The sequence below is a fragment of the Homo sapiens genome, chromosome 5 (assembly GCF_000001405.40).
Source record: "Homo sapiens chromosome 5, GRCh38.p14 Primary Assembly".
Classification (NCBI taxonomy): Eukaryota; Metazoa; Chordata; class Mammalia; order Primates; family Hominidae; genus Homo; species Homo sapiens.
In genome coordinates this window covers 89334390-89347416 of record NC_000005.10, presented here as the reverse complement: position 1 = coordinate 89347416, position 13027 = coordinate 89334390, and the positions used below count along the sequence as shown (strand labels likewise).

The following is a 13027-nucleotide window of genomic DNA, read 5'->3' as shown; positions in this document are numbered from 1 at the left end:
TTTGAGTGAATAAAAACAAACCCATGCATAACCCAGATATTGGAATAAGCACACAGTGACTTTAAAATAGTTATTATAGGCAAGGTGCGGTGGCTCACGCCTGTAATCCCAACACTTTGAGAGACCAAGGCAGGCGGATCACAGGGTCAGGGGATCGAGACCATCCTGGCTAACACGGTGAAACCCCATCTCTACTAAAAATACAAAAAATTAGCCGGGTGTGGTGGCAGGTGCCTATAGTCCTAGCTACTTAGGAGGCTGAGGCAGGAGAATGGCGTGAACCCAGGAGGCAGAGCTAGCAGTGAGCCAAGACTGCACCACTGCACTCCAGCCTGGGTAAAAAGTGAGACTCTGTCTCAAAAAAAAAAAAAAAAAAAAAGTTAATATAAATATATTCAAGGATTTTTTAAAAACAGATAATATGTGAAATGATGGGAAATCTCAACAGAGAAATACAAACTAGGAAAAGAAAACAACAAGTAGAAATTTTAAAACTGAAAAATAATATAATTGTAGTAAACATCTCAAATGCATGGGCTTAACAGCAGAGTGGATATTGTATAAGATCAGCTAATAAAACTGTCTAAAGCACACAGAGGAAACCACTGAAACAGTGAGTTAGGGCACAGTGTCAAGGGTCCAATACGCATGTGATAGGACAGGAGACAGGAAATGACAAAAGCAATCATGGTGAAAAAAATCTGAGCACTGCTCAGCTTTGTGTGGGAGGAATTGACTGGAAAGGAACATGAAAGAACTTTGGGGAAAGACAGAAGTATTTCATATTTTGATAAGTATGTAACACAATTGTATATACTTGCCAAATTTCATTGAACTACATACTCTTAGAGTCTGTTCTTTCTATTGATTGTAAATTATATCTCAATAAAAAATAGAAGAAATCCGAGGGACAATGACCATCAGTTAGTATCATTACCTGATCTAAGCACGAAAATACTGGCAATTACCTTGTCATTCATGAAATCTTGTATAACTTTAGCTCTCACTTTAACAAACTGTTAGTTTCATCTCCTCCCTTTCTGCTTTTTTACAGCCTCTTTCAGTGATCCTTTTCTTCATCCCACTGTTAAACATTCATATTTCTAAGTTTATGTCCTTTTCCATATTTTATCCCTACTTTATGCATTCTTTCAAGGCCTAGGATATGCACAATGCAGGTGTTTAGTGTTTGAGAGATTGACGAACAAATGGACATATAAATGAATAGATGGGTGGGTGGATGGATGGATGGATGGATGGCCAGCTAAATAATGAGTACTCTCCTGGCTATCCAGTCATTCAATTTATGTGCCAAGTACTCTTCTGGGTGCTGAATATACAATTTTGATCAAAGCAAAAAAAAATCCTGTTTTCTAATGTTTACATCATAATGTTTGTAGTACAATCTTGGTTCAACTGTTAAGTTCAGACTCACATAATTTCTCAAATAAGGGCATACCTACCTTCAATTTGTACCCTCTAAGTCAATGCCAGAGTAAAATTACTAAGATTTATATATGATTTGTTACTTCTATATAAAATCTTTTTGATATTTAATGTCCATGTGTTTATGCACACTTTTTGGCATGTTCAACCACATCCTACCTTAACATTCTATGTTCTAGTCATATAACAGTTTTGCTGTTCACCACTCTCACTGTGTGTTTTTACATAAGGTGTTCATTCAGTCTAGAATGTCTTCTTTCCAACTACCACCCTCAGTGTTACCTATCACAATTCTCATTCATTTCCCAAGACTGCTTAAACGGTCTCATTGATATTTTCTTGACCTTCCAGACAGAGTTAAGGTTTTCTTCTTAAGGGTTTTTTCAGTCCTCCCTAGTTCTCTGTGTATAGGTTTGTGTCTATAAGCTGGGTGTTGGTACAGGTTACCCTGCCATAAACAAAGCATGCAATGACATGTAAGAAAGAATACAGTAGAAAAATTAGGGGTATTTGGTATTATTACCAAATAAGGCACTGGGTATCCACAAAATCAAATTCATGAGGGAGCAGAGGGAAGAGTAGAATATAAGAAAACAGAAGTGGGATCCAGTGTTCCTAAGCAAAGATCTCTGAGGACAGTCTGCAGCCAGCTATCAGGTACAACAGGCTGGGCTCCTCATCCACACCCAGGTCCCAGGGATAGATGAAGGAGCACCTATACCTTTCAGGGTGGGGTACAAAAAGCCTACAAACCAATAGCTGGCTGATCAAAATTTTTACAAAGATCATTAATGACCAAGAACACTGGGAGCGAGGAATATTTTTTGCCTCAAACACAGAAAACTCATGACAAATTTTGACTTCTACTGAATCCTCAGCAGGCCACAAGAATAATGTTACCATTGAATTGGCTATGTAATATAGGCAGCTGATATGGGCTAGTTTGGGAACATAGGCTGATACTTTCTCTCAAAAGGAGCTTGTTTTATTTGTTGTAGTAAACTTGTTTCTCCATTTAGGCAATGAGGCCCTCAAAGGCCATGTTAAGTTCTTCTCTACATCTACTACCATGGATGGCTTATTGTAGGCACTAAAAATTGTCTTTTAATAATAAATTAACAGTTTCCTGCAAGTAGAACAGTATTCACAAAAAGCTTTCTTTAGTCCTTACACATTCATTCTTTGTTTGGAATTGTGATAAGTTTTGTTGCCATGAGAACACATTGCCAATTAAAATTTTGTTGAGAAAATAAAGATGTCACATTCAAATATCAAATAAATAGGTCACCTCAAACTCAACTAATAAGTTTTGTAGTGCATAGATAAATAATCTTTCTCTATTCTATTTTTTCATATCACAAATGATTATTTTAATATCATTTATAATTATTATCCAAATGCACAAAGTCATTTTTCACCCATGATAAGTGGAATGGACTTCCTAGACATTTCAAAGCAGTTCCCATGCCATTCAGTAGCATACAGATTCAAGGAGGTATTAACAGATGCATCACATGAAAATAAGTTAGCCATCCTGATCTCTCTCAAAGATTCTCAATGCATTTTTACATACTAAAGGCTCCAAGAAGTCTATGTGGGGAGAGATTGAATTTTAACTCACAGATCTCCAAACAGTTTATCACAACACACTTCTTTTATGACAAATTATCAGCCTTTGGAACACTGCTTTCTGAGGATAACAGTTTAAGATATTTCTTCTGAAAAATAATAGCTGTTTTCTTCTAGGAAGACATGGAAATATATATAGTGAAATTATAATAGACTTTGGAATTAGAAGCTATAGGTTCAAATCACCCAAACTTGTTGTGACTCTGTCATCCTGGAAAAGTTCTTTAACTTCTCTGAAGATTATAAAGACTGTCTCACAGGTATAAACTGCTCAATAAATACTGGTTTTATTTTTCTCACTTTACAACACCTCCCATATTCTGATAATGGACCAAGTACCGGGCTGTGGGCCCAGCTGGGGGTTAACATCCTTTAAACAAGTGGTGAGCCTAGCTTGTAGCACCTGTTCTTCTCGTGAGCCAGGTGGGGCATAGTGATATTGAGACTAGCAAAAGATAAGTGGGGAAGTGGTTATTCCACCCACACATTCTCACATGTTGCAAAATGCAGCTGGTGATTATTCTCTCAAGAGGAGTCTACTAGCATGAATGCCAATGAAAATAAGTCCTTGGGTCCTGTTTGGCACGTGTGCCTTAATTACTGACCCCCTACTCTAGGGAGGTCAACAAGAAAGAAGGTCTCTTCTTTTCTTTGCAACGGTATGAAAATGAAACAATCATAAAATCTGGCAGGAGAGTTAAGGTTAATAATTTTCAAAGAGAGTACTTGGAGGTTTCTTTACACTATAAGCACTATATAATCAAAAGTTTTCTTTTTCTGTATTAAACTATTCAATGTTAGTTATAGATCAAAATATTAAGTGTGTATTAAAACTTTTGCATTTTATAAAGTCATGAATAGATATGTTTTCCACAAATTTTAAACAGATGAAGCTTTAACCTAAGAACCTTTTTTATTAGTTTCTTCATTTTAGTTTATCCTAAGAAACGAATAACTAGTAGAGCACCGACAAACATTTTGGTGAAAGGGGTATCCCTGATTAAAATAGAGCTTCAGCTCTCTATGGACACATTGTTCACCCTCTCCCTATCTCACCCCCACCCTACCTACACTCCATCCCAACCCATGGCAAACTATAAGCCAAAACACATACCATGTAAGCTGTTTCTCCTTTAGAACAAACTTCCTTGGTCAGATTTCCTCACAAATTGGTTATATCTTCAGAAGAATTACAGCAAATTGAGGAATACAAATTGAAACCCACAAAAGACTGAAAATTAAATGTTTAAAAATAAAACTACATTTTTTTTCTTGGAAATCTAGAGGAATGTCACAAGATTCAGAACTCACATATTTCTAGGGACTAATTCTGTGGTTGAACCTAATGTCAGCTATATTATGGTTGGTTGGGTGACTCCAGGAGGAATGAACACCTGAGTCAGGAAGATGCCCAGCAAACTCTACAAATGAAAGGCAACACAGCAGCATCATGCATTCTTTTTTTCTCTTTCTCTTTTTTGTAATAAGAATGTGAAGTAGTTCCAGATGGTGTGCAAGTGGCCAGACTCAAACAAGTTACTAAGCTTGTTGGCATGAAAGAAGCTGCTTAGTGGTGACATACAAGTACAGAATCCCCACAGTCCTGCTTCCTGGTGAAACTGGAGAAAACAAACCAACAATAGAGAAATGAGTACTGTAATTTATCTTGGAGGCCAGTTAGGTTGTTTATCCCAAACTACATTTTGATTCCAGTTACAGTTTAATTATGAGTATTTGTTCTCTAACAGAGACTAAACAAAGGGTAACTATTTTCTTTTATCTTTTTCTTTGTTATGAAAATTTCAGTTTCATGTTTGCCTATCCTCTCTCTTTAAATAGTATCTTATACTATGTGAATGCATTCAGCCCAATTTCTTCCCATTTGCATGAAGTTTCTAAAATAAACAATAAGATCAGAAGTTTTTACGTATAAGAAATGCATGACTTAATAATGCCTTATGTATTTCTGTAAGCTTTTATTGCATCTATTTAACAAGTCCCTTTGGTTATAAAGGAGACACTACCATGTATCTCTGCCATCAAACTATTGACATAAAGTTTCAGACTCGGGGAAACCCACCAAGTCAAGTTACCCACTCCAGTAGCTACTGTCAAGATGTTTTTGGTTTTGACCATGAAATGGGAAGTTATAAATATATGAAAGGCATGTGGGTGATGTTCATTCTCTTCTGTGTGCCTCATACAGCTCTTCTCCCAGGGCAGCAGTAGCTGGGATTTGTCTTCTTGGTTTCAGATCACATATGCTCTTTACAAAAGATATTCAGTATTTGCTTTTGCAACTGTTCAAAAGTTACTTTAAGTGCATAATTTTTATCAATTATATTGCCAGGAGGTTTTTTCCTTCTATCTAAAACACCCTGCACTATGCTCGCTGCTACTTTTTATGGTGGGAAATTATGTTTTCCCTCTGTAGCTGTAGATGGACTCCCTGAAACTTGCTAAACCATCTCTGGGTTCTGTCTAAATTGTATTGATAAGGAGTGTTTGTAACACCTCTATTTTTGCAGAAAAAGATACTTCCAGATTGGGTTGGAGCAGAAAACAAATCCTATATTGCTAAAATTAATAATAATACTGGATTAATTTAAAGTGTTTAAATAAGAAACAAACTTTCACTATAATGGTCCCCAAATTTTTATATTTAATTCATATTTACTACCATGAGAGTAATACATTTTAATTGTTTTCATCTAACTTTTGCATTATTGATCAGTTTTTTTAAATGAACTTTCCTTTATCTACATTTTGGACCAATTCATTGTTTTTTGACCGTTCTCCTAAAAGATCTTGTTTTCATTTCAGTCTGTGTTTTAGTTGGTCTAGCTTTTTATTTTCTCATGAACCTTTTCTATTTCAGTTCAGATCAACTAGGATTGCCACATAGTTTTAACAAAAGCTATCAGGGACAGACAGTTGTAAAAAAAATTGAACAAAAAAGAAATTAGCAGAATATTAGTTTATCAGTGATAATCCACATGTCCTTCTACATGTAACAGTAAATGTACATTGTATTAAGTTGATGTTGTTTTTCAAAAATCCATCTTTGGTCTTTGAACAATTAAAGGTATTTTAAAACTTTTACTCAATGTTCAATTCTTACTGATCCAACTTCAAACTTTTCTGTCCATAGTCCATATGTTTTACACTATACCACAAATTGTTAAGCAAGAGGGGTTGAGGTCATTCACTTTTGAAAAAAATAAAATAATAAAATCAATCTCAATTTTGTTATTTACAACCTGTAAGATGTTCAAGTCACTTAAATATCTAAGTATCAGTTTTCCAACATTAAAATAGAAATAATAATATTTATCTTATAGGTTTATCATGAGAACTACAAAATGCAAATTTATAAACATATAATTTATAAATTAGATATATGGAGAAAATAAGCAGATCATGATAATTTTGGTTTTTAAAATATTTTTATTTCCATGCAATAATTTGACACAGAAATTGAATGAAAATATTTAATACATTGAAGTTTTTTAGACAGGAGATAGTCTACTGAAAATGGTTTGTAAATTAGCAAAAGTTATTATCTTTGCAAGAAAGTGAACATCAAACTTAGGCACTGACTTCTTGAAAAAATGTTACTTAAAGGGTCTTTTTGTTCCATGGTGACAGCTATAAGATTTTAATATAAATATTGAAAGAAGGAGTTGTCTCATAATTTATCAACTTGAAACATTGAAGTACTATAGTTCAAAACTTTGAAAGGAAGTCATTTTTCCAGATATCTGAGGCTCTTTGTTCACATTTTGGGCTTCATAGATATTAACCACATGAAACAAAGGTAATTTCTTCTACAAAGTAATGTAACACTTAATTTGAAATATATTTCCTAAGAAATTTCAGAATGAAAAAAATAAGAATCTACTTTGAGATTATAAGAAAGGTGAAAAGTAATATTGAACAACTCTTTCTCAAAGCTTATTTTTAAATAAATTACTCTGCATTTACTCAGTGTAGGCATATGCCACCAAACTACTGTCAGCTCATAAACATTCAGAACTCTGCTGTTTGATTTACTGTCAGGTACTCACAAGAGCACCCTCACTATTGCACCAGCAAGACTCTCACTGTTACAGTCAATAAGTAAGTTAATATAGTAGGTCAAAATGCAGACCTAGAGCTGGAAAGCACATCTCAAAACATGATTATAATACAACTTACTTAATTAGACTATATTACTTGCTGGAAATACAGTCTCTAGAAAAGAGAGCTTACTATCTAGGCCATCTGGTTCAAAAGTGGTATTTGGTGATTCTTAATTGCAGCAACCATTTATCAAGTGCTGATCAGGAACCAGGCAAGGCACTGGGGACCCACACTGAATTGAATACAGTTGCCTGTTCTTAAGGATATCACTGCCTCTGATGACAGATTCATAGCAAACATTTGTAATGTACTGTGTTATTATGGAAAATGTGTATGTTCCATGGAGACACAGTGGAGATTATCTATCCCAATCTCTCCTGCAATATCTTATGCAACAAGGTACAGAGGAGATGACATGGTCAGGAGGGACATATAAACAATAAAGGGACAAAGCAACAGCTTCATAACTGAGGGACAAAGTTTGCTTCAATTATAAGCTTTCATTTAGTGAGCAACAGGGATCAATACCTAAGCAGGATTGACTTGAGCATGGCAAGTAATTGACTGAGCATCTTTGGACTTCGATAAAATGGAAAGGAAGATGTCAAGTGTAAACAAGCTTGCCTTTTGTTTTCCAGAGAGTGGTTTTGCTGCTCCCCTACCAATAGTTTGAAAACAGATTTTTGAAGCACCATGTCTGTTCAGCATCTCTTGGTTTATCCTTCTCTTTGAACTAAGAGTTATTATAAAGAGTTAATATGTTTCTCCTCATTCTAATTCCTTGTCTCTGTTTGCTACATGTAGATTGTCTCTTCTTTTTAAATGTAATGAATGAAATATATTTCACATTTATGAATAAAACTATTCCTGATGGACTTTACGTATTTTAAAACGTGTCTTAATGGGGATGCATTTGAAGTGTATTCTTACCCTACAAAGAACTGAAATGGTAGTAATTTGGCTACATACAGAACTCATTTTATGTTGCCAGATCTTTACAGCCTCCTCAAATTGTCAACAGGAAATGGGAGTTCCTTGACCACAAAACCATTGGAATTAATAGTATTTTGAGAGTACAGTGAATGGGATTTCCTAATGTCTCTTCTCAGAGGTTGGCAACTGCAGTGGTGACCAGAATTCTTGATGCTTAGCCCTCAGGCGTGTAACATGTTTCCTGTTCATTATCCAGGAGCCTGAAATTGGTAGTTTCTAAGTTACAATGCAAGAAACATCTGCTTAAAACATTTTTTAGCAGTTGGAAGGAATTTCTCACTGACTGTTATGGTGAGGTCTATTAATGAGATAAAGTTAATTTTTGTCATTCTTTGAATCATGATAATTTCTTCTTAGTGTTTGCTTTATATACTCAGAAACAATTGTTTTTGAATGAATACAAAATAATAAATACAATGTATTAAATAGTATTGGCCATACACCTCAACAAATAGACTACTGTAATCATGAACAACCATTTAGGTTCATAAAAACTGTATCAGTTTGGGTCCTCTAGAAGCAGATACCAAGACAGAATAAGAAACACAAGTAATTCATTGGGGGAATTTTCTGTGAAAGATAAAGCTGAGTGAACAGGAAAGCAGGCAGGGAAGGCTTTCAGACCAGGATGCAGGTCTAACACCTATGATGGAAGATTGGGAAGACAGAAACAGCTTAAATAACAGGAGCCCCAGACTGCTGTACAACTCTAGGAGATTCTTGGCCAAGCCAATGGGGAGCCCCAGAGCAAAAGTTGAGCATTAGTTGGGTGCTGAGTTGGCCAACGAAACCTGGACACTAGCTTCACTACAGTGCTGTGTCATTAACTGATAGAGATTCAGTTATAGTAGGGCCTTTATGAATGCTGCAGTGGATCCTAAAGATGTGGCAGCTGGACGCTGTCCACTAAGTCCTCACAGCAGGTTCTTTATTATGGGCAATCCTGAGCACTGCACAGCCACGGCTGCCACACTGGTCTTTCACAATATTTTGCTTCTTATCATGGAAGTCACACTTGCCAGAAAAAAGCAATTGGGGAGGTTTCAAAAATTACAAATTTCATTACAACGTTATTAATTATTGCCATATTTTCAGTAATTTTGAAAAAATTCAGTTCATTGAAAGAAATGAACTTCAAAGTCTCAATAAAAGTTGTAACTTTAAAATTGATAACTTTGACCTTAAAATGTCTTGGAGAAATTTAGTTTTTCAACACTAACATGAAGTTTGCAAAGATAATTAGACACATTTTGTTTGAGCGGAATTGAGGATCTCATTTTCATTGTGTTAGAAAGAATACAAGTAAGAGTATCATAATCATTAAAACAATTTTGGATGATATTGAATAACTTGTGTTAGGTAGTATGGGAATTATATAAAGGAAACTAGACATGTAGTTTTGTATAGTATGGGAATTATATAAAGGAAACTAGACATGGAGTTTTGTATAACCTATCCTACTGGGAGTCTTCAATTGTACCTTCTGGTACCAGAATATCTTAATAGAGAAGGAAAAAGAAAAGAAAAACATATGATCCATCATATATAGTATACAAAGTACATAACAAAACAGTTTAGAAAAAAAAGTTAATGACAGGAGCAAATACTTAATGGTATTACTAAAGATAATAAAATAGTGAAAAACAGTCTTAAAAGATCCTTCTTATTGCCAAATTTATACACAAATATTTTAACAACCTTATCCCTGAGTATTAGAATTCTATTTCTCTTTCTTTGGGTTTTATATTTGCAAATGATCTACAATAAAGATGTCTGTTTAAAATTTCAACTTTTATTTTAGATCCAGGTGGTACATGTTCAGGTTTATGACATGGATATATTGCATGACGCCAAAGTTTGGGGTAGGAATGGTCTAGTCACTGAGGTAGTGGTCCTACTCATCAATTTTTGTTTTTGTTGCAATTGCTTTTGAGGACTTAGATATAAATTCTTTGCAAAAGCTGATGTCAAGAAGGGTATTTTCTACATTTTTTTCTAGAATTTTTTATAGTTTGAGGAGTTACATTTATGTCCTTAATCCATCTTGGGTTAATTTTTGTATATGGTGAATGTTAAGGGTCCAGTTTCATTCTTCTGCATACAGCTAGCCAGTTATTCCAGCACCATTTATTCAGCAAGATGTTCTTTCCCCATTGCTTATTTTTGTCAATTTTGTTAAAGATGAGATGGTTGTAGGTGTGTGGCTTTATTTGTGAGTTCTCTGTTCTGGGTTCCATTGATCTATGTGTCTGTTTTAGTACCAGGACCATGCTGTCTTGTTTACTAAAGCCTTATAGTATAGTTTGAAGTCAGGTAATGTAATACCTCAGACTTTGTTCTTTTTGGTTAAGATTGCTTTAGCTATTCAGGCTCATTTTAGGTTCCATATAAATTTTCGAAAAGTTTTTTCTAATTCTGTGAAAAATGACATTGGTAGTTCGACAGGAATAGTATTGAAACTGTAGATTCCTTTGGGCAGTATAACCATTTTAGCAATATTGATTTTTTCCAATCCATGAGCATGGAATGTTTTTCCATTTGTTTGTGTCAAGACATATTATTCTCATAATTCTGAGCAACAATACAATATAAATTTTTAGATTTCAGGGTAATAACTAGCAGACAAGTTTATGTACATGAATGCACATACATACACATAAAGAATCACAAATGCTTGCAACACATCAGCAAAAAGTCAAGAGAAGAAAGATATTTGGCATAGAGACTCATTGTGCACCATCTACTTTTCATTGCCCAGACTAAAAGGCTGAAATATATATCTGTGTATCCAGTTTTATTTCAGTGAAGCTTGCGTCTAAAACTGTAAAGATCCTCAAACTTCCAAACTATGATCCTGAGCAAAAGTACCTAACTCTATCTAATTCAAACAAATGGCATTGGCTTTCATGTAGGGACATGTAGTGTCTTACATCATTTTTTTCTTTCATCTACATTGCATTTCCTGTCTTGGTGCTTATTTCTGACTTTTGACTTACCTGTATGTTTAATATGTGCAAAGAAATAGGTTGAAAATGCTAATAAAAGGACATACAGAAAATGTGATTACCATGGAGAAAATAAAGAAATCTTTTTAAGTTATAGCGGGTAGAAGATCACAAATTTGTATAGGATACATTTTTCCAGGGAAGATATACTAATAAAGGACAAAAGCTAAAGAGCTGTGCCTTTGTGATTGAATACAATTTGCAAGAGAGAATTAAGTGCGATCTATAAAAAATATATATTTGAGAGATTGGATGTTCAACATGTGTTTTGGATACTCTTAATATTAATTCAGGGAATTACCTAGGAGTTGGCTCAAGAGTTAAAGGCTAGACCTGGAGAATGTGCCACTGATGATACTTCAGATGCAACTATTAATATAATTTTTTGGTGCTTTGGAATCTGAGCATCCGTTCAGATTCAGCAGCCAGGCCCATTCAATGTTATGCTAAGATCAAGAAGTGGGAGTACATGCTTCACCAGATTATGAAAGTAGGTGAAAGTAATTTGTTCTCGAAAATTGTGTGCAACAGAATTTCTGTCACTAATAAGAAAAGAAATATACTTGGTAGAAAGTGTATTCACAGACCACAAGCCTGTACCTCTGCCAGTCACCAGTGACTCGGGAACAAATGGAGTCATGGGTAGAATCTTTTCTTTAGTAGATAAAGTTATCTCTATATTAGGTAATCAGTTTTCCAAAGTTGAATTTGGGAAACTCCTTGAGAGACAAAAGCAAAAGAAAGTTTAGAAATACAACAGTATTTAATAAGTTGCATTTGTCTTGTCTCTTGTTATAACACAGATCCCCATTATTAATGTAAGTGTACCCAAAGCAATAAATAAAAGCAGCAATGAAATTGAAGTATTCTACATGGATAGCGAGCTCAAAGTAGATTATTAAAGTGATAGCTCCTTAAAACGAGCTAACCCAAACCAAACACAAACATTAAAAATATGAATTTTATAAAAATACAAAAATGCAAATTTTATGAAATATGAAATATGCTGAACTCTTTTTTCAATACAATCTTTCTAATTAAAAATAACTTATATAATTATATCAGTTTTAAAGTTAAGTTAAAGACATAGAAGATACCAGGAATAATTAGGTGATTGAGTTCGTCCGAGTGGAAGTTTTAACCATGTAGAGTCAAAAAAAAAGTTAGATTTTGGATTAGAAAATCTTACTAAGAAGTGTCTCAGCTAAGACATTCTTTCTAGGTCAGTGAATGGTCAAACTGTTGTAATTCTCTCCATGTTGCCTGATGTCATTACTACTTCATCCACAAGAGAAAACCTGCTCCTTAGAGCCTCATATCAAAAAGTTACATAACCTTTTCCTTCCTTTATCTTTGGTCCTAATTTTGCCAAGTTCTCAAAGTTTTCTCTTCATGCATTGAATATTTTAAACTATTTCAGCATTTGTCTTTATGACACCTCCTGTCATCCTCCAGGTAATTTCTGAGTTCACCTGGACATTGCAGCCATTACACCAGTTTCTCTTTTTTGTTAACCTCCTGAAGATCAAATTCCTTAATCACACAGCCACCATTATGATAACCACATCTTTTGACATGATCATCTTCTGAACTGCTCTACTTTTGAAGTCTCCAATTTTTTCTGTTACTTTCTCAGGAACTCTCCACGATTTAAAAAAATTTTTAAAGCTTATGAAAAAATCAGAATATATGTCTTAACAATCTTAAAAGCTATGTGAAAGAATAGATAAATTACTTACAAAGAAATGACAATTATACTGACAGCATCAATAGACACTAGAAACAAATGGAATAGTGTTTTCAAAGTGCTAGGGGAAAATGATTGTCAATTA

General features: G+C 34.4%; 1 long non-coding RNA gene across 6 annotated transcripts in view, besides 1 other annotated feature; it reads right to left on the bottom strand.

Moving 5' to 3' along the window:
* Window positions 1-13027, bottom strand: part of MEF2C-AS1 (MEF2C antisense RNA 1) — a 584252-nt gene that overhangs the window by 120165 nt on the left and 451060 nt on the right. The gene's annotated exons all lie outside the window — the stretch shown is intronic.
* Window positions 4527-4576: an enhancer, noted in NCBI's record as "active region_22773". NCBI's record gives its function as "activates an Ori minimal core promoter by ATAC-STARR-seq in GM12878 lymphoblastoid cells {active_cell/tissue: GM12878}" and the evidence as "EXISTENCE:reporter gene assay evidence [ECO:0000049][PMID:35858748]".